This window comes from Homo sapiens, chromosome 4 (assembly GCF_000001405.40).
Source record: "Homo sapiens chromosome 4, GRCh38.p14 Primary Assembly".
NCBI lineage: Eukaryota > Metazoa > Chordata > Mammalia > Primates > Hominidae > Homo > Homo sapiens.
In genome coordinates, this window is record NC_000004.12 from 56223230 (window position 1) to 56246421 (window position 23192).

Genomic DNA, 23192 nt, shown 5'->3' on the forward strand with positions numbered 1-23192 from the left:
TTTTTTTCCTAATAACACCTTGAGTTTGTTCTCTTGAGTCTCCCACAGTCTGGGTTTTGCTAGTTGCATCCCTGTGGTGTACTTTATAAATGTTCCTCTGTCCTCTTTATTTTATGTAAATTGGTAGGGATTGAGGTGCTTTCAGATTTAGATTAATTTTCCCTTTTCAAGACTATTTCATATGTGGTGTGTTCTTCCATCAGGGACAGATCATGTCAGGTTGCCTCATTTTTGTGGGTCTTCTAGTACTTTTATGGTTTCATTTTTAATATTTTAGTCTTTGTTCCACTTGGAGTCTATCCTGGTGTCTGGTGTGAGTGTGGTTCCAACTTTTTCTTTTCCAGTTGGCTGTCCAGCTGTCCCAGCAACACTTATTGAATGGTCTTTCTCCACTGACTTAAAATGCCATTTTTATCATATATGAAATTCTCAAATGTATTTGGTCTGTTTTCTGGGCCTTCTGTTCTATTCCATTGATTTACCTGTCTATTCATACAACAGTTTCACACTGTTTTAATTGTTACTGTTACTATCTTTTTAAATTTTTTTAGACAGGGTCTCACTCTGTGCCCAGGCTGAAGTACAGTGACGCAGTCTCAGCTCACTGCATCCTCGAACTTATGGGCTCAAGTGATTCTACCACCTCAGCCTTCCAAGTAGCTGGGACTACAGGCACTTGCCACCAGGCCTGGCTAATTTTTTAATTTTTTGTGGAGACAGGGTCTTGCTACATTGCCCAAGCTGGTCTTGGATTCCTGGCCTCAAGCAATCCTCCCTCCTTGGTTTCCCAGTGTTGGGATTACAGGTGTGCACCACCAGGCCTGGCCTGTTTTAATTGATGAGGTCTGTAAAACATCTTAATATTTGACAGAGCTAGTTTCTTTTTATTACTCTTTTTTTTTCAGAGTTTTCTTCGCTATTTTTTTTTATTGGAATTGCATTTGATTTCCAAGTTAAGAAGAATGACATCTTTATGATGTCAGTTTTTCCTATCTGAGGCCACACTATGCTTTTCCATTTGGTCACTTGTCTGTCCTTTAAAAATGACTTGAAATTTTGTTCATGTATCACCTTCACATTTCTATTAAGTTTACATCTAGGTCTTTTGTTGTGTTGGCTGCTATACTTGAGGTCTTTTCATCCATTATATCTTCTGTTTGTTACTGGTGGAAGCCATTGCTTCACATTGATCAGGCTTACTAAATTTTCTTGTGTTTTAATAGTTTTTCAGGTGATTATCTTGAGTTTTTCATCATATCATCTGTACATAGTGATGGTTTAATCTAGTTAATTAGGAAAATGCAAATTAAAACCACAGGGAGGTACCTACCACCTTGCCCCAGCCAGAATGGCTATTATTAAAAAGTCAAAAAACAATAGATGTTGGCATGGATGTGGTGAAAAGGGAATGCTTACACATGGCGGGTGGGAATGTAAATCAGTACAACCTCTATATTGTATAGTCTTATATTGACCTAATTTCTTTCTGTTTCTTTGGCTTAACCATGTACATACTTAATCCTGCTTCAAACATGTTTTTTCTTCAGTTGCTAGTTCTAGTTTACCACATAGTGTCTTTTGGCTTAAAGCCAGCTCTTCCAGCACAAGACTGCTCCTGGAAGCAGGTGACCTCACTATCTCCCTTACCTTGAAGCTGGGAGCCAACCCTTTACCCTGAAGTTGGGAGCCAACTGTCCTCAATTGGTAAAAGATCTGGAGAGGGTTGAGTGTCAGAGGATACAAGCCTTAGCCCATGTGCCCTTCAGTGTCCACCTGAAGTCTTCACTCTTTGGTCTCCACACACTTATTCTTGCAAGGAGATTAGCTCTTCATTTGTGATCTTCTCTCAACATGGTTATTTATTTATTTATTATTTTGAGATGGTGTCTTGCTCTCTTGCCCAGGCTGGAGTGCAGTGGCACGATCTTGGCTTACTGCAAAAACCTCTCCCTCTCGGGTTCAAGCAATTCTCCTGCCTCAGCCTCCCGGAGTAGCTGGGATTATAGTACGTACCACCATGCCTGGCTAATTTTTTTGTAGTTTTAGTAGAGACAGGGTTTCACCATGTTGGCCAGGCTAGTCTCAAACTCCTGACCTCAGGTGATCAACCCACCTAGGCCTCCCAAAGTGCTGGGATTACAGGCGTGAGCCACCATGCCAGCCTCAACATGGTTATTTTTTGAATAAAGACATTTTGATTGAATATTCCTCTTCTATGTCTTTCTCATCTTGATCTTTATCTGTTCTCTTTCCTCCATCTCTTCTGCCTCCCTGAACCCGTTTCTTCTTATCTGCCTTCCATTTATTTCTCTCATCTTCTATTTCTCTTCCATATTTCTCTTTCCCCAAGTACCCCTTATTCTTTGTATAATATTTGATTTTGAGTCTTAGGGGTGCCTAAAATCTTATTATAAAGGGAAAAAATCATACAGCTTAATTACTAGGCTTGATTAGGTAGAAATATTTAGGACTTCCCTTTTGTTCATCATTGTGAAAGTGAGACAGGAATGACCAGTTAGTGAAGCGGGATTATCATGCCCAGTCTATCTAATGTCTTCCTGGACCTTTAGGAAGTAATTCAAGATCATAACATTAGCTGTGAAATAATTTTTGAGATATTACTGTATAATACAAGGAAGTCTCCATTTTTAGGTAGAACCCATTCTTGGAAGTCACATCTTCAAGCTGTTGCTGTAAGGCAGAATCCTAAATTTGCTTTCTATCCTGCTCTTCAACTTTCTCCTTATCCATTTAGATATTATTCAGTGTCACCAGAAAATGCAATGAATGTGTGAATGGAACCCTGAAAGTGAAATATTGGGCCTGAATGAGCAAAATAGCAAAAGTGAAGTCGTAAGAAGTGGGGCCTTCTTATCCACATACCATTGGGTCACGTTGGGTTTTCTACCAAGGTTGGAGTCATATTCATTAAGGGCAGGAATCATGCCTTAATCATCATTGAATGTAGGACTCTGACTATCCCAGAGGAGGCACGTTATAAATATTTGATGATTTGGTGAACTAAACTAGACCAAACCATCTCATTAGATGGGCACATTGTTTGGGATCTAGGAATTGTGTTGTGAGATTGGTGGTTGATTTAGATCACCTTTCAGTCCTGGTATATTGCGCTGCAGATCAGCTGCTGAGAATGAGAGAGGAGAAACGCAGATACAAGAACTATGAAGTGAGTTTTCTTGGCCCTTTTGCGTTGGCTCAATTAACCTCCATTCCTTAGGGACTCCAGAGGACTATAGTGCAATAAATTTCATTATGATGATTCAGAGTCAGCAAAAAAGGGTAAAATTATGTTGTGTATGCTCTGTTGCTAAGAGAAAATTTGAGAAATCCATTTAAGATAGTGCTATAGTTTTGATGTTTGTCCCCCAAACCTCATGTTGAAATTTGATCCCCAGCATTGGAGGTGGGGCCTAATGTGAGGTGTTTGGGTCATGGTAGGGGGTGAATCCCTCATGAATAGATGAATGCCCTCCCTGTGGGGCAAGGGAAGGTGAGTGAGTTCGCTATTTGTTCCCAGGAGCTGGTTGTTAAAAAGAGCCTGGCACCTGCCTTCCTTCCCTCTTTCTTTCCCTCTCCTTCACACCTCTCTCTCTCTGTGTGTGTCTCTTTCTCTCTCTCTCTCTCTGTCTCTCTCTCTCTCTCTCCCTTCCTTCCTCCCTGTGGCTTCTTCTCCTTTGCCATGTGATCACCACACTTACCAGCGTCCCTTTGCCTTACACCATAAGTGGAAGTAGCCCGACACCTCACCAGAAGCCAAGCAGATACTGGCACCATACTTCTTACACAGCCTGCAGATCTGTGAGCCAAATAAAGCTCCTCTCTTTATAAATTACTCAACCTTGGATGTTCCTTTATAGCAACACAAATGGACTAAAACAGGATTCCAGTAAAAGTGGTCAACATAATGTGAGAGATGTACTTTTGTTAACTCAAAATCTGCTACTTCCTGCAGTCAGATAAGCAAGTTGTTGCTGTAAATACTGTGACTATTATATAAAGAACTCATTTTCTTTTTCTGCTTGTAACATTTCTTCTGAACATGAACATTATGGAATAATCATAGCCAGACACAGTACAAAAGTGCTGGAAAATTTCAGGTGTGGGACACAAAGGTGGGTAAAAAGAATCTCACCTTCACTGATAGATACACTAAGTTAGAATGTTAAGTGATAAAGTCATACAACAACATATCATCAGTAACAAGGAAACTTCCTGGTCTTTCTGAATCTACTGGCAGCTTCTGGGTCTCCCTTGCCAAAAATTACTTTACGATCCCCTTATAAAAGGCAGAACTAGATTTTAGAGCAGAGATCGACCAACTTTTATAAAGGGCCAGATAGTAAATATTTTAGGCTTTACGGGCCACATAGACCGGCTGCAGCTGTTCAACTCCATCTTCGCAGTGCACAGATAGCCACAGGCAGGGCTTAAACAAATGGGTATTCCAACAAAACTCTATTTACGAAAACAAATATGGGCCACACTTTGATTTAGAGAATCACCTGGGTTTTTGAAATGAGTGCTCTTTCTCATGATCAGCAACAAGTGTGTTATATCTGGCAATACACACTGCCTTACAGAAGGTAACTGTGTTCTAGGACACAATCCACCAGTGGTCTACCTGGTCGTATTCTCTTTCTTTTTTTCTTTCCCTCTCCCTGCCTCTTAGGAAGCGCTTAACCTCTACCTGTAGTTTAGACCTGGCTCAGTATTGAGGCTAATTCTTTACAAAGCAGGATATATGTAAGGAGCATCAGGTCAGTCATGCTGCGTGTTCTCCTTTCAGTGTATACCCAATTTCAGGTCCTAGGCCCCTACCCTGTCCCTGCCTTGGAGCCTTCCTGGTACCCCCGTTACTCCAAGACTGAAATTCTGCCTTTCCCCCTAACCCCGGTCATTTCAGGGACCGTGTCCTCATATGATGCTAGGCAGTGTATAGAAACAAAAATATACCTGACTTTTGTTACTGTGTACTTAATCTGTACTGGACAATGGTGTATGTGCATGGATAAAAGTATATTATAACACTCTTTATGAGAAAAAAATTTGGTCTTCTAACAGAAACAAGACTTCAGTACGTTAAACTTAACAACTATGATTTACTGTAAATTATATTGAGTACAATTAAATGTTAAAATATATAGTTCAGTCATTAATTGCTTAGGTGGAAGGTTACATCTACCAGACACATGTGCTGAGCCTTGAAGGTTATACAGAATTTGCCTAAGTCGGCCAGGATGGTAGCTCATGCCTGTAATCCCATAATCGCAGCACTTTGGGAGGCCAAGGTGGGAGGATCGCTGGAGCCCAGGAGTTCAAGACCAGCCTGGTTAACATAACGAGACACCATCTCTACCAAAAAAAAAAAAAAAAAAAAGAATTCCAGGTGAGGGTGTTACTGTTGTTATGAGGGAAGCAGCTAGTGTGGGTTGCGGAGAAATCGGAGAGAAGGTCAGACAGATGAAGGCACCAGATTGAGGAGGACCTGAAAAGCCACACTGAGGTTGTGGAGTTTTATCAAGAGGACAGCAGAGAACATCTGATGATACTTTATGTAGGTTAGTGAAAAGTATATTGTGATAGAAGAATGATGGGCTAAAACCCAGAAGTTAAAGGTTCCTGTTTCAATCCTGCCATTTATTAACTAGGAGACCTTGGAGTCATCATATAAAATCCTTGAGCCTATGTATTTGACAAACGACAAGTACATATCACAGAGATGTCATGAGGATAAAGTGAGAAAATAGTTGTGAAAAATGTTTTGAAAGTCATACATAAGGTTCTCCACAAATGTAAGAAATTGCAATGATATTATAACAGTGGTGATGCAGGAAGATTATGCTTGCAGGCATAAACAAAATGAATTGTAATGGGGGAAGTTAAACAGCAGAGACAGCTCGTTTCAGTAGCACAGTGGGGTGGTTTGAATGTATGTGTTTCTCCAAAATTCATTATGTTGGAACCTAATCCCCAAGGTGATGATATTAGAAGGTGGGGCCTTTCGGAGGTGGCTCTGCCCTTATGAATGGGATTCATGCCCTTTTTGCCTGGAGCCCCTTTTGCCCTTCCATCTCTTCCGCTCTTCGAGGACACCATGTTTGTCCCTTCTTTGCCCTTCTGCCATATGAGAAGGCAGCAAGAATGGGTCATTTGTGAGGAACAGGGCTTTCGCCAGACACTGAATATTCTGGCACCTTGATCTTGGACTTCCCAGCCTCTAGGACCATAAGAAATAAATGTTTATTGTTTATAAATTACAAAATCTAAGGTATTTTGTTTTAGCAGCCTGAATGGACTAAGATACGTGTGAATGAACGGAAAAGGGCCTCTACCATGCTATGTATGGATTACCAACTGAGGAATAACTCAAGCACAATAAGAAATCCACAGTAAAACTGTATTGAACATATATCCTGATGCTTCTTAGCTGTTACAAATACCACCTCATGATCATCATTGTAAACATCCTTTCTAAATGTACTGTATGGTACCTTCTGAATAAAGGGAAGCTTGCCTTTTTGCAAACTCAGCCAGGGATAAGGTGTATAGCAGAATGCAGGAGCTCATTTTCATCTTCATTGCTTCCATTGCTACCCCTGCACAACTCTGTGATTTATCTCTGAATGTCTTATTATAGCTCTCCAGTACTCAGTTCCTTCTTAATGATGGAAAAACAACTAACAGGGTAAAACTTTGAGCAAATATTACTGCTTAGAATTAAATATTGCTTGGAAAAAGAAAAGCATGTCTTTATGTTTGCCCCTGCACTATGGATTTTCTGCTTATTATTTCCTTGTGTCTTTTATCTTCCCATTAAAGCATGAAAATAGTTCATATCTCTCCCCATCTGTTCACCACATTAATTGCCCTGGGCAGGAAGAACTTTCTTCAGTATAGGTCTTCTTCCTCTTTGTGGTTTTAAGTCCATTACATGCCCCAGCTGCTTTACTGTTTGACATCTTAATCTTCTTATTGGTTTTGGGGTACGTCCTTGGTGACAGCTAAGCAGGTTAGGTATGGTGACTGAGGTGACCCTTAGCTCCTTTGATAAAAAGCATGCAGGCTTTTTCTGCACATAATGAATCTTGGGTGGTGATTTGGCCTTTTCAAGTTGAAAAGCAGGTATACATCAATTGTTCTATTAAACAACATGTACTGAGCACTGCTATCTGTCTGTGGTGGCCCCGGTGGAGGACACAAGAGACACAGGGCATTGTTCCTACTCAAAAAGTAGTGATGTGTTAGAAAAGATGAAATTGAGTCAGAAGGTCTAGTTCTGCGCTAACTTGCCTCATAGCCTTGCTTTAGCTTCTTTTTCTAGAAAATGAAGGGATTGAACCTGAACAATGGTTTTCGAGCAGTGTTTCTGAAAGATTCTTGGCACTTAGGACCTGTCACAGAGGGCTGAGCTTAGGCTCCTAAGGTCTTCAAAGTGCTGCAAGTCTCTCTCTTGTATATATTAGGTTTCCATATAAACTTTCAAATAAAGGTCTTCAGAGCTGAAAGTATTTGCAAGCAAGTGGACTAAATGGGTTCCAGCATTTCTTTCAATTCTCATTTTCTGTGAGCCTACAACTACAACAAAATATAACAACATAAATAAGTTTGTGCAAGGTATTGTGACATAGAATTCAGTATCAGTTGTTCAACAAGTACTGACTAAATTCCTTGTCGATTGGAGAATGTCATCGCCTCTGAACATCATAGCTGTCTTCAGGTAGGTAGCTTATGGACTTGGATCACCATATATATGTGGAATTTAATATGGTTGGTTGTCCTGGAAAATATAGAAAAGTAAAAAACAAAACAAAACAAACAAACAAAAAAATTGTTAACAAACACTTTACCTAAAGAGAATCACTCTTACACTTCTTCTGATTTATTTTCCTTCTAGGCTATGTTCTTGTACATCATGATATTTTAACATAGTTTTGAAATACACACACACACTGGGTTTATCCTGGCTTTCTGTTTAACCCTAGAATATAGATTTTTTTCTAAGTGTCCCAAGAGAAGAGGCAGTATCTATTGTCCAGCAATATGTATCCAACACATTGCTCGATGCCTGGACAATGGTAGGTGCTCAATGAATATTCACTAATGAAATTACTTGTTAAATAAATATCATGCAAATATAAAAATGTATGTTTCTGACTGTTCTCTAATATTAAAAGCTTCTGTTGCTTATCTTCTAAAGCTGACTGTAGGCTTGTGTAACCCAGCAGCTCCACTCCTGTGAATACTCAGCAGAAATGCATGCATTTATTCACTGAGACATGCTGTAGAGTGTTATAGGACCAATACTAATAATAGGAAGAACGAGAAGCTACCCAAATGCCTATCAACCTAAGTTGAGATAAATAAGCGGATTCACACAAGGAATGCAAAGTAGCAATGGTAATGAGCAGTCCACAAGCCAGATACAAAAGAGTGCATGCTACGTGCTTCCATTTACATAAAGTACAGGAAAAACCAAGTCAGGATAGGGAGCATGAGAAGAATTCTAGATGCTGCTGTTGGATTTCTTGATCTGGATGCTGGTTTACTTGGTTGTGTCCATTTTTCAAAAACTCATCAAGTGTTAAAATGTGGCTGTTCTTTGACCCAGCAATTTAGGTATTCAGACTTTATATACAAGCAGCTATAAAATGGACCTTCCAATGATTAAGTCACTAAAGAACATGTGTTGTGTATATGCTATGCACCATGAAGAAATACCTAAGGATGTACAAAAAATATTAGTGAGTAATGGTGTTTATTGCAGTTATAATAAGTTCCAAACATGGAGAAAAATGCAAGCCAACTCAACTCTCCCACAGTAGGAGCATATGTACAGTAATTCCGCCTTCCTGCTCCTTATCGCTTCGTGTTTCTGCTCCCCTATTCATTGCCAGGCAACCACTAATCTGCTTCCTGTCACTATAGATTAGTTTACATTTTCTAGAATTTTATATAATGGTATCATACAGTGTATTCTCTTTTTTATCTGCCTTTTTTAACTCAACATAATTATTCTGATTAACTCAGATTCCTCTATGTTATAGCATGTACAAATGCTCTAACATTCCTTTTTATTGCCAAGTTAATTCCTTTTTATCGCCAAGTAGTATTCCATTGTTTGGATATACCACAATTTGTTTATCCCCTCTTGATGGATATTTGGATTGTTTCCTATGTGGAGCTTCTGTGAATATTCTAGATGTCTTTCATTTTTGTTGGGCATGTTTTCATTTCTCTTGGGTAAATACCTAGGAGTGAAATGGCTAGATCCTAAGGTAGATGTATGCTTAACTTTTTAAGCAATTACCCAAGTGTTTTCTAAAGTTGCATTCCCGTCAGCAGTATATAAGGTCCCCTTTTGCCACATCCTTGCCAACAGTTAGCATATAGTGTCTTTGTAGTTTTAGCTAATGCAATAGGTGCTTAGCACTATAGTTTAAAACATGTATCTTTATTTATTTATTTATTTATTTATTTATTTATTTATTTTTTGAGATGGAGTCTCACTCTGTCACCCAGGCTGGAGTGCAGTGGCGCGATCTCGGCTCACTGCAAACTCTGCCTCCTGGGTTCAAGAGATTCTCCTGCCTCAGCCTCCCAAGTAGTTGGGATTACAGGTGCCCGCCACCAGGCCCAGCTAATTTTTTTTTGTATTTTTAGTACAGACGGGGTTTCACCATATCGAACAGGCTGGTCTTGAACTCCTGACCTCAAGTGACCCACCTGCCTCAGCATCCCTAAGTGCTGGGATTACAGGCTTAAAACATGCATCTTTCTTAATAACTAGTTTTGCAGAACATTTTTTTGTGTGCTTATTTACCATTTGTATATCTACTTTGTGAAATGTTCATTTCTTTTCTCAGTTTTTAATTAGATTATTTACTTATATTAAGTTGCGTTAGTTTTAAAATATATTTTGGACTCAAATGCTGTGTTAGGTATAGAATTTATCAATATCTTCTCCAAGTCTATAACTTATAATTTCAGTCTCTTAAAAGTATCTTTGGAAGGGCAGATTTTTAAATTTTTATTTCATTTTAGTTTTAGAGACAGGGCCTTGCTATATTTCCCAGGCTGAACACCTGGGCTCAAGAGATCCACCTGCCTCAGTCTCCCGAGTAGCTGGGGCTATAGGCATGCATCACTGTGCATAGGAATATACAGTTTTTTTTTTAACCATCATTTGTTGAAAAGTCTAACATTTCCTCACTAAATTGCCTTTACATCTTTGGTCAAAAATCAGTTGTCAGTATATACATGAGCTGGACTCTGTACTGTTTATCTTTCTTGTCTTCTGATTTATTTTTTATCTGGTTATTTTTATGCCAATACCACACTGTATTACTTGATTCTGCACCTTTATAACACTTAAAGTCAGATAGTGTTATTTCTCCAGTTTTGTTCATCTTTTAAAAACCTGTTTTGGCAACTTTAGATACTTCGCAGTTTCATATGAATTTGAGAATCAGTCAACTTCAGCAAAACTGCCTGATGAGAATTTGATTGGGATTGTGTTGAATCTATAAGTCAATTTGGGTAGCATTAATAACAATATTGAGTCTTCCAACCCATGTATATGGTATATCTCTTCAATTATTAAGTTATTTTTTATTTCTCTTATAATTGTTTTGTAGTTTTCAGTGTACAGATCTTTCACATCTTTTGTCAGATTTATCCCTAAGTATGTTCTATTTTACAAATGATATCATTTTTATAATTTCAGTTTTCAGTTGTTTGTCTCTGTTACATAGAAAGAAGTTGATTTTTATATATTGATGTATCCTGCAATCTTTCTGGACTCACTAGATCTAGTAGACTCCATCATTTTTAATAATAGCTTTATTGAGATATAATTCACATACCAAAAAATTCACCCTTTTAAAGTATACAACTCAGTGTTTTTTACTATATTCACAGTGTCGTGCAACCATCCCATTATCCAATTTTAGAGTTTTCATCACCCTTGAAACAAACTGATACTCAGTAGCAATCACTCCCCATTCCTCCCCTCCAATAGCCCCTGGCAATCACTGACCTGTTTTCTGTCCCCTGGTTTTGCCTTATCAGAATATCAGAATAAATGGAATTACTCTGGCTTCTTTCACATAGCATAATGTGAAGGTTCATCCATATTCTAGCATGAATGAGTACTTAATTCCTCTTTATGACTGAATAATATTTTCCATTGTGTGGATCTATATAACATCTTGTTTATTTATTTATCAGTTGATGGATATGTATTTAGGTTGTTCCCACTTATTAACAATGATAGATAACACTGCTGTGAACATTGTGTGGTGATTCCATCAATTTTTAAACTCTGTTTGTTATAATAAAAATATTATTTTTGTAAAAAGAGAAAATAGTGAAACAAAGCTTAGAGAAGAATGATTAAAGAGTCAACCAAGAATGGTTAAAGAGCCAGGATTTGATAGGGTAAAGGAAAGGCAGGGAGTAGGACAAAGGTAACCACAAGGTTTAAAGCCTTAGTGGTACTAGAAATTGGGAAACGGTGGTGGTATTGATTAATTCCTTTTCATATGACAATTATATATGATGGGACTTCAAGTGAAAATGTTTCAGTAGACAACTGGAACATAAGTAGAAGACTAAAGCTGAAAACATAGGCTTAGAAATTAGTATAGTGGTGCTATAAAGCCAAGGGAACTGATTTTCTGCTAAGCACAAACAGGAATTTAAGCAAGATACACCTTCTGTTCCACCTCCAATCTAATTCATAGGGTAGAGTCCTGTTGTGTTTAAGGGCATGTTTTCAACAGTTCATTGCATTTGTATGCATATTGCGATATAGTAGACTTTAACGTGTCTACAAACTATGGATTTTAAAAGAAATAAAATGCCTTACCCTATATTCACATGATTGTATCCTTAAAGATACAGTGGGAGTAGGGGAAAAAATTGTAAAAACACCTGTTAAGTCTTATCTGGCCAAATGCCATAAAGCAATATATCTTGGGGGTGTTTGTCAAGTCAGAGCTTTCATCAAAAACAGATAAGACATCTAAAGACATCCAAACCATTTAAGGATTCTGTTTAGGAACAATGAAATATTACAGAACTTAGAAACTTTCATTTTGTGAGATGTCTACGGGAAGATAATTTTAGAGGTTATTTTTATTTCCTTGGGGAAACAAGAAAGAGATTAGCATGTTCTGTTGTGCTACAGAGTCATTAAATACCAGCTCACATCTCTATCAGTAAAAGCTAAGTTTTTTGAGTAGTTGAATTGCTCTCTTTGAACAAAGGTATCAGACAAACCATTTTTCTAAAACTCACAGTTGCACAAGTGTACAGTCTCTCAGGACAGTGGCAGCAAAGTACTAATTGAAAGTCATACGCTACATGCTCAGAGTAGAAAGTATGATCATGTCCAGATTAGTGTGTTAACTGCTCCCACATCCACAAATCCTCATTGTTGACAGTAGATTCAGCTTTTGAAACAAAGGTCTAAGCAACCGTACAGGGAAAAATGGATTGGTTTGGCTATAGAAAATTTAAAACTTTTATGATACCATTCACACAGGAAAAGAGAAAACTACATGTATCTATATCTGCGTAGATGCACATACAAGACAAGGGTTGGGAAGGAGGAGTTCAAGAGGGCATGCTTTCTCTGGCCAGAGTTTTAAGACAAGAACATGTTTACCTACTGTGGGTGTGCCCTGCCCACCATCCGTGCATGAATCTGGGCCTCCACCACAGCCTGAGTTATCTGCGCTGGGTAGCTGGTGGCTATTAAGAACTGAATTGTATCCTTGAAAAATGCTATGTTGGAATCTTAATCCCCAGGACCTCAGAATGTGACCTTACTTATTAAAAACAGGGTCTTTACAGAGGTGTTGCAGTTACAGTAAGGTCATTAGGGTGGGCCCTAATCCAGCATGACTGATGTCCTTAAAAGGGGGACTTTGGAGAGAAAAACATGCTCAAGGAAGAGGATGTGAAGGCCACGTGAAGAGACTGGAGTGATGTGTCTGCAAGCCAAAGAACACCAAAAATCGTCAGCCACCACCTGAAGCTGGAAGAGGAAAGGAAAGATCTTCCCCTAGGGCCTTCAGAGGGAACACGGCCTTGATCTCAGACTTCCCCTCTAAGAACTGTGGGAGAATCAGCATCTTTTGTTTAAGCCTCCCATGTTGTGGTACTTTATTGTGGCAGCCTGAGCAAACACAGTGGCTAAGGAAACTAATTTCAATCAGAGACAATATTCAAAATTCAGCACTGGATATTGGCAGGACTAGGCACTAACCAGTCAGAAGAGATGACAGCTTTGAACTACTCACACAGGTGGGCCACTGTGGGGCACAGAGATGATGTATGGAAACCAGGAGTCACATAGGACGATGGCTCAATGACATGAGAAAACAGGGTGGAGGGAAGGAAACTAAAGAATGCTCAATACCTTGAAAATGGGCAGCAAAAGAAAGATTAATTTAGATGCAACCAATAAAAATATTTTCAAAGACTAAAAAAAAAAAACAAAACTTTTGTGCTGCAAAATATGCCATGAGAAAAGTTAAAAAGCCAACAGAAAAAAATATATTTGCAACGTATTACAAATGTTTATATTTTAAATATGTTAAAAATGCATAACTTCAGACCATTTTCCACCAATCAGAGATGGAGAGGCATGTGTTGTTGGTGAAGATTCAGAGAAATCTCATGCATCACTTTTTGGAGTATGAATTGCTATAACCCCTTTGGAATGTAATTTAGCCATGTATATTAACATTTCAATTCACACCGACCCAGCAATCCCATCCTTTGGAATTTATGCTATAGAAATAAAAGCATCAGTGCCTAAGATGTATGAACATCTTTATTTATTTTAACATTGCTTATAGTGATATAAAAGAAAAAACCTGGAATAGCTGAAATGTCCATTAATAGGGGGAAAGGTTGGAAGAATGAGTTAAATTTAAGTATGTGGCCTGGAGGGATATCTATGATATATATAATAAAATGAAGAAAACAAATTATAGAATGAGTTATAGATTATAATTCCTTTTTATTAAAATGAAACCAATATGCATTAATATATTCATGTAAATAAATACATAATTTAAAGAGACCCAGGCATGAGCCATGATGAGTATGATTAATCTAGCTTTTTATAGATTAAATCCACTTGTATGCATTTAAGTCCTATAAAAAATTAGTAAGAAAGATGGACCTTAGGTTCAAAGAATTGGGCTGATTATAAATTTTGATTCATGACTCACTAGCTTGTCAGTAAATGCAGCTTCATGCTATCACTTTTTTTGACTACCTATTATTGATTATGTGCATATAAAATATTTAATCATTTGCCTGTTGCTGAACATTTTAAATGGTTTCACAATATTTAGTTTTAGAAAGAATGCCATGTAACCATATTTTTGTAAACTCTCTAGGTGTTTTCCTAACAGTAATTCCTAGAACTGAAATTTCTAGGTTAAAAGATATTACATACACACACACACACACACACACACACACACACACACACACAAACACATACACATACACATATGTAGATAGAGCGATGGATGAATCAGTCAGTAGATATAAATATAGGCATGCATGTGTAGTATGTATAGATATAGGAGATATGTATAGATATAACCCAGCAATATATACTTTCATATATTATAAATATTATATTTATAACATGAAAATATATGTGTTATATGTATTGTATAATCTAGTTATCTAGTGCTATATAACAAACTACCTCTGAACTAATTGTTTATCTATCCATCCAGATATATAAATATCTTTTAACCCAGCAGCCTATATAATTTTCTAGTTACCCAGTGCTACATAACAAACTGTTCCAAAACTGAGTACTTAAAACAACAACCACATTTAATTTACTCATGAATCTGTAGTCCAGATAGGGCTCAGTCAACACGACTTATGTCTACTCCAATTGACATTGGCTGGGGAGGCTTGAAGGCTGCAGGCTGGAATCTTCTGAAGGCTCTTTCACTCACATGTGTGTTGCCAGTGCTGGGAAGAGTTGAATAGCAGGGAGCTAGAACAGCTAGGACAGCTGGCATCCCTCTGGCATCTTTCTCTATATGTGGTCTCTCTACATGTTGGCTTCAGGATAGCTGGACTTCTTACATGGCCACTTAGGGCTTCAAAGCCTTGTGTCCCAATAGAGCTGCAGGTGGAAGCATTGTCGCCTTTTCTAACTTAGCCTTGGAAACCATGCAGCATCCCTTCCACCACAGTCACAGGCCCACCCAGGTGGAGCAAGACACATAGACTCCCACCTGTCAATGGAACAGCATCAACAACTCATTGTAGGAACATGGAGAGGATGGATATAGCGGTGCAGCCATTTTTGGAAAATACAATCTGCCACGTCATTTTAGGACTTTTGATACATATTGCCAAATAGCCACTCCAGATACTGTACAGTGATGAAAATAATTCTTCCTGAAACTGCTAAAGAAGGATGTTATTACTCTTTTTCTGTCTTTGCCAATCAGATTTTTTTTAAAAGATGGTATTTCATTTTGTAAATTTACTTTTTTGGTTGCTACTGATGTTGAAAATATCTGTACCTGTGTACTGGCCATTTTGATTTCTTTTGTGAGCTGCCTGTTTACATCCTTCCTGAAATTTGTAGTTAGAGTTTTAAAGATCAGTTAGTTCAAAATCCCTCCTTTCACTGATTAGGAAATGGAGTCACCAAAAGCCCCAAGTTCAGAGTTTTCTAAACTTATGTAAAGATTACATCGGCACTTCAGGCGGGGTGCAATGGCTCATGCCTATAATCCCAGCACTTTGGGAGGCCGAGGCGGGCAGGTCACTTGAGGTCAGGAATTCGAGACCAGCCTGGACAACATGGTGAAACTGCGTCTCTACTAAAACTACAAAAATTAGCTGGGTATGGTGGTACGTGCCTGTAATCTCAGCTACTCAGGAGGCTGAGGCAGGAGAATCGCTTGAACCTGGGAGGCGGAGGTTGCAGTGAGTCAAGATGGTGCCACTGCACTCCCGCCTGCATGACAGGCTCAAAAAATGATAATAATAAATATTATTATTTAATAATAATATTATAGAACTTAGAAACTTTCATTTTATGAGATGTCTATGGGAAGATAATTTTAGAGGTTATTTTTATTTCCTTGGGGAAACAAGAAAGAGATTAGCATGGCCTTGTGAAGTGGGTGTCATCATGCCCCATTCGCAGGCATGGTGACTGGCCTTTAATGTCAGAGTACATGTTGACATGTTTTATCCAAGAATGTTTTTATCCAAGAATGATACAGAGAGCCATCAAAACCTCCCTCTCCCCTAAGTTTAGCTGAAATGAGATGACCTAGATGTCATCTCATTGCATTTAATAAGCAGGACTGAACCTGGAGCAAATTCAGGTTGTCTTTGCACCTTAAAAACAAGTGTCTAAATCTAGAAATAGGATAGATATTGTCAAGTTAAATAAACCTTTGTGATAACAAAGTTAGCCATCTTCAGAGTCAGTGAGCATTCAGCTTCCCCGTGTCCTGGGACCCCCGCTCCCACCCCCTGCCCCAGACTCTTATGTGTTAACACCACCAGACTAACACAAAAAGCTTTATCTTATAATTACCTCAAAATTACAGACTTCTAGAATATGCACACTTTAGACAGTACAGATGAACATCTGTTCTGCTGATGTTTGTGTGTGAAATGAATGAGATGAGAGTCAGGAGGAATGATTAAGCCTATGACAGGTTTTTTTTAACAGGACTTTTAAAAGGACATTAAATTCCAGATATTTTCATTTCAATTATTCTTTTTTTTATTCGTCCATCTCATATGCTCCAGACACATACTAGACACTGATAATACAGAGCTATAAGACATAGTATTCATTTATTAAATATGTATGTATACTTTTCCTTGTCCCAAAAGGCATATGAAATGGGTTATAATAAATGGCATTATTTCCCACCTCAGGAAATGGGGAAGATCAAGGAGGACGTGGACAAAAAACACCGTGATAGAGATATGCCAAAGGATTGCCCTGTAGCATGTGGAGGTTAGGTAGGGGGATTCCTAACACAGACTGGGGAGGGGGAGTAGGGTACCACAGAGAAATTCCTTGGAGGAACAAATTACACAAAACTCATCAACGCTGTTTTCTGTATTGTACATTTTTTCCTGTTTGCCTTTTTTTCTGGCATTAGGAGGGCATCACAATTTTAAGCAGAGCTCAGACACAGTTGCTCTTCTGTTTAGCCAACTTGCATGCCTGATCCTTTTCTTTTTCTTAAATTCAAGGCCTCACTTTGTCACGCAGGCAACAGTGCAGTAGCGTGATCACAACTCACTGCAGCCTCAAACTCCTGAGTTCAAGTGATCCTTCTGCCTCAACCTCCCTAGTAGCTGGGACTACAAGCATGCGCCATCACACTTGGCTAATTTTTTCTGTAGAAACAGGATCTTGCTGTATTGCCCAGGCTGGTCTCAAACTCTACTTCAAGCAGTCCTCCCAAAGCACTAGGATTACAGGCATAAGCCGCCACACCTACTTGATCTTCAAAAAGAAGATTCTTAGGTTTGTCTTCTGTGACTTCAGGCCATTCCTTAAACTTATTTCAGAAACTTATTCTTATGTGTCTGGTGAGCTGTGCTGCACCCCCAAGAGTTCCACTGTGCAGCTATGATTAAGTCCATCCGCACACCCACCAGGTTTGCAGATGCCCTGCCACGCTGTCAGCATGATGGATGGGCCTGCATTACAGTGGCTGCAGTGAGGGAAAGCAGGAAAGGAGCTCAGAGCGTTATCAGCTGTCCAGCCTGCAAAGTCCGTGTTACAGTAATTGCCATTTTCTTTTGAGTTTCTGGTTGACATATGGAAAAGGGCAGACTATAAAGTGCTCATGAAATTTTCCTTAGCTCTTCACTGCAGTGTGGTTATTCAGTACAGGGCTTGTGTGCTTTCTGGATCCATTAGTCCTCATTTCTAACTTGAGTGGATTTCTGTTTATTGCAACCAAAGGGTCTTGAGTAAAAGAAATACTGAAAGCACAAGTTTATACATCTTTTTATCTGACCATCAATCAGTGGTTCAGTTCTCCAAGATAAACTTTAATTTCTGAAATTCTGTTTCATTGAGTCTTGTGGAAGTTTTCTATGCTTGCTCAATTAATAAAGTCACCGAGAGAATGAGTGAATAAAAGCAACTAGGGTGAATTACCCCTCCCAATTCCTCTGCCTCTAATTTCGTCAAGGGACTTCTGTTTCTCTTTGGAAACCGGCATTTCTCTTATTCATTTAATAAGTGAATACATAACTAGAGACTGCTATGTTCCAGGCATGGTTAATAGATGCTAGGAATGTAAAGATAAGGAGGACATGGACCTTGCCCTCCAGGAGTTCATGGTTTAGTGGGGGAGACTGACAAATAAACCAGAGATGACAGTACAGGAAATGCAGTTTAAGGGTAACATTGGGTGCCGTGGAAACACACAGGTGCAGTACCTGCTCAGCCTTTTTAAGAGCTCTTGGAGGTGATCAGGCGATCAAGGAAGGCGCCTTGTAGGAGACAGCACCTGAAATGAGTTTGGAAGGATGAGTAGGAGTGAGCCAGAGGGAGAAACTGAAGGGCGTGTTCTATGTACATGGCCTCACGTGAGCAAAACTAGGAGGCTGTAAGAAAGTCTGGTTCTTTCATGTCAAAATATAAAGTAAGTTTTGTTCCCTAAAAATATCTCAGAATAAAGAGAGGCCTTATAGATTGTTAAAAATTTTTTATATTACAGGCTACTCTCTGATTTACTTTATTTTGAATGACAAAGTAAGAAGCCTGAAACTACCTCTGTCACTGCTAGTTTGTATGCCTATGGAGGTCACCCTAAAAGGAAGCAAAGAAATTCTGTACAGATTTAGTTAAGTATTGGGGTGGGGGATGACTTCACAATCGCAAGTCTTGAATATCGTTGCCAATAAACCTTCTAAAAATCACTTGAAAATGAAATAGAATTAGTGTTTACTTTGTGGAGATCATGAGTATACAGCCACAGGATGAACGGAAAAATAAAACCATCCTTATTTTAAGCAAATGGATATTTGTGGCTTGAGATAAAATTTCCAGTAATAGCATCATATACAGATGAAAAAAATGTTTCCAGTTTCACGATAATAGAGTAAAGCTATTTTCACTTCCTTCTGCTCTTCCAAATCCCCTACATAATAAAGAGAACAAGATATAGACATGCAAGCTTTGGTGACACTAGGAGGCGTGTAGCCCTGAACTAGGATTTATGAAGACTGAACAGTGGTGCAGGAATGGCGAGAAAGTGGTAAGGTCAAATCTGCGTTCCTGCAAGGATGAGCACCCCAAGAACCCCTGAAAAGCTCAGAAAAAGACGTCGGGGGCCACAGGAGGCAGAGGCGATGGGAGGTCAAGGACAGGGATTTTAGGAGAAAACCTGTCCATGGAGCACTTGAACCCCATTTTCCTACTCCCATTCCAGATTAATAGGGAACTAAGCCTCCTCTGCCACTGCATAAAACCAGAAGTTTATCCCCTGGAAAAACAAAACCAGAGGACCACCAGGCTCTGAGATAGCAGGCGAGGGAGGGTAGGAACGAGGACCCTATGTGAAAACAAGGGAGTACGTGGAAGTTTGTACACTTCACGGTGACTACGAGCAGCCTGGCGCACCAGGTAAAGGTTAGAGGGATGCACCCCTAGAGCGCATGAGCCGCCCCAGAGAAAATCCTGTAGATACTGTCATTTGAGAGTCCCGAATTTGGAGAAGCTCCTGATGTCCCCCACTGTCTATTTTCCCTTTATCCTTTTTACTAATAGAACTTCCCCAAGTTTTGGCAAAGAACATGGATGACTGGGTAGAGTCTGCCTCTTCCAGATTCCCCTACAGTGGGCTGTGTCCACCAGCTAAATTCTTAACAGTGGTGTGAGCAGTTTCTGCTTCATTCTCTTAAAAGAAATCTGTTTGTCCTTGTCTTTCTCTCGCTCTCTTCAAGAGTAGGCTGTGGATGTGGTGCCTGTGAGGGAGCCTCAAACATAGATCAAGATCAGGCGTTAGGAGATAGTGATCAACCAAAGATCAAGGCCTTAGGGGATGGTGGAACAACAAAATAGGAAGAATAGAAAGAGTTGCAGCATCTACTTGTCCTGTGCCACTCATCAATGTAAGGAATGTTAGAAGAGAGAGAAATGAACTCCTAACTTGTTTGAGTCACTGTATTTTGGAGCCTCTTTTTTGTAGCAACTTAGTCTATAAACAAATACACTATATTAAAAAACAAAACACCTGGCTTTTTGCTCAAATACTGCATTATAATTTTCTCCAAAATAGCATATTATCCAGTGTAAAATAGCATTGGATTTTTTTAAATGGCTTTCTTTTTTTATTTTTAATTTTTGTGGATACATAGTAGGTGTATATATTTTTGGGGTACATAAGATGTTTTGACATGGGTGTGCAATGTGAAATAAGCATCATGGAGAATGGGGTACCCATCCCCTGAAGCATTTATCCTTCGAGTTACAAACAATCCAATTACACTCTTTAAGTTATTTAAGAATGTACAATTAATGTTATTGACTATAGTCACCCTATTGTACTTTCAAATAGTAGGTCTTATTCATTCCTTCTAACTATTTTTTTGTACCAATTAACCATCCCCCTCTCCCTCAAAGCCCCTTACTACCCTTCCTGGCCTCTGGAACCATGCTTCTACTCTCTATGTCCGTGAGTTCAAAGATAGTGTATATTTAAATTGATCCAAAAGTCTTCCAAAGACTTTTCTTTTTCTCTTTTGCTGGGAGACAGGAGGATTGTCTTACTGGGAAAATGGGAGACTACCTGAGATTCAGGACCACCTTATATTGGTTTCTAGTCTAACGTTCTGGGAACTTGAGAAGATTCTGAAGGCAGAAGTATAGAGTGTGAAACAGGGAGTAGCCCTGGCTCCCATCAAAATTTACATAATGGAGTTTCCCTAAAACCAGGGTTCATATGCTGGCAATGATGTTATGGGCCTGATAATGAGGGGGCCTGGAAGGGGGTTCATATGCTGGCAATGATGTTATGGGCCTGATAGTGATCCCCAGAATTTTGGTGTGAGCACCTGGATGACTTATGCTACCATTTTGTGAAGTAATCATAAAGTGTTACACATTTAGGAAAGAACATGATGGGTTCAGTTTTAGACATACGGAGGTACCTACGGACATCCAAGTAGAGGTCCAGGCTACAGATCCAAAGCTTATATTGGCTTTTGATATAGATGTATTTTTTACTTTATTGCTAAAATTCAGCTAGTATATGTCAGGGTGGCTGTATCAGTTGGTAAAATTCTGAAATGCTCTGGACTCATTGATAAATGGTCATTTCCTTCAGACTCCCACGTGCGTCCCATTTCCCACACACCAGCTGTTCTAACCCTTCTTGGGATACCCCCATACCACCCTACAGTCCATGATGAAAGGGTTAATACCTGGCCCAGAAGTGGGCCTCCAGGACCCTGCCCAGCCCTGTGGCTGTCCTGTCTGCTCTGTTTGTTAAAAGTTTTGAATATAACTCCTGCTCACAAATCATGAAGGTGGAACACATTTCCCACATAGCCATGTGCTTAGTCTGTTTCACAATCTTCCACAAATCCCATCCTAAGCTGCCCTTCCAGTCTAATTGATATCTCTCCTAAGTCCCCTCTGCTGCAGGCAGCATTAATTACCCACTGCTCCCTGACTCCCTGCATTTTCTCACCTTCATTTCTTTGTGCTCATTTCTCAAAATTTTCTCTGATTTCCAAATATTCTGTGTTTTATTCATCTTTCAAGGCCAATTCATTTTCCCTTCTACAAGAAAGCTGCCTTCATCTAGAAATGTTAATTCCATCCTTGAAATAACCACCCCCTTCTCATGGAGTGTATCACTTCCTATCTTATTTAATACATTAGGAATATATTACATTATCTTAGTATTTTCTATGAAGTCTTTCTCATAGTGGATAGGTAATAAATAATTGTTGAATGAATTCAAGTATGAATCTAAATCAAAAGACTCTCTACCAGTTACCATTGGTCTGTGGTTGCTAGCAATTTTATCACTTCTTTAGAATGTCTAATCTCAGAATCCCTGAAAATCTCCCTGGCTGTGATACCTATGGTATCTTTTGTCACATGCCAAAAAAACAAAACTAAACAACAATAACCGAAAGCAAACAAATGCAGAAATGTTTACTGGTTTTCTGAACTAAAGCCTTTGGTACGTTCAGTTGTGTTTTGGTCATCTCTCTTTAATGTAAAATGGTAAAAGTGATTTTCCATTTCCTGCACTGACTTTAATTAATCTTCCAGAAATGCTGGAGCAGAGCTTTTCTAAGGAGTGTTGCACTATTTGTTCTACTGCAGCAAATCAAGCTCCTATTGTAACACTGGTGGCATAGGATGAATCATTGCTTTGGCTGGGACAAACTGTTTCCTGAAGTCAGATACAAGAGCAGAATACCTAATGGTACCTTAGTACCTATATTCTGTCTCAAACACTCAGTCCCCTATTGCCCTTCATTGAAGTAAAGGAAAAATCGAACTTCCAATGTTTGGTTGAGATAGCAAATAATTTGCACTCAAGGTCACTGGCATGTAAACAGATTTTATTCTCCTTGCAACACTGAATTGCTTTTTCTGTCTCTTCTTTTACATAAGATTCAAGCAAAATGTAGACTATGTTATGTACCGTGTGCCTCATCTGTTTTATAAAGAAGGATTGTCTGGCATTTGTCCTAGGTAGATACTGATGGGGAGGAGGATGGGCAGGAGGCATTGGCCACAGCCTGAAGGGTACCTAAGGCTGTGATTTTGAGCCCCAACCTACTGGCCTGTGCTCTCAGCCAGCTCTCATGATATGCAGTGTGGTTCTCAGTGAATCTTTGTCAGATGTGAGGGAAGAGACACTTCCTTGAGTTGCCATTTTTCTATCCTCTGAAAGTAGAAAGTGCTGAATGGAACTAAAGCTTCTCATCTCTGCCCTCTCATCTCCCTCCTTTTTAATTGATATCTCCTAGTGAAAAGATTATATATCTTCACGTGGGGCCTTAGGTGGAAGGTGATTACAAGTGAGGTTACTTGCTGTGTCTGTAACTGCAGGGTCGGGAGGGATGCATGCACAGTCACAGGGCGGGCAGTTGAGCTCCTT

At 39.2% G+C, this 23192-nt stretch overlaps 1 protein-coding gene and 1 long non-coding RNA gene across 9 annotated transcripts in view, besides 1 other annotated feature; one reads left to right on the forward strand and one right to left on the reverse strand.

Annotated features, from left to right (window-relative positions):
* Positions 1-23192, forward strand: part of CRACD (capping protein inhibiting regulator of actin dynamics) — a 281512-nt gene that overhangs the window by 174132 nt on the left and 84188 nt on the right. The gene's annotated exons all lie outside the window — the stretch shown is intronic.
* Positions 3193-3756: an enhancer, noted in NCBI's record as "OCT4-NANOG hESC enhancer chr4:57092588-57093151 (GRCh37/hg19 assembly coordinates)". NCBI's record gives its function as "activates a minimal SCP1, AML or CMV promoter by ChIP-STARR-seq in primed H9 embryonic stem cells {active_cell/tissue: H9 hESC(primed)}" and the evidence as "EXISTENCE:reporter gene assay evidence [ECO:0000049][PMID:30033119]".
* LOC101928760 (uncharacterized) lies at positions 6405-23192 on the reverse strand. The gene is made up of 2 exons (XR_245260.3): positions 23123-23192; positions 6405-7798 (listed from the first exon to the last, which is right to left on the reverse strand). It is a non-coding gene; the product is annotated as an uncharacterized LOC101928760 (long non-coding RNA).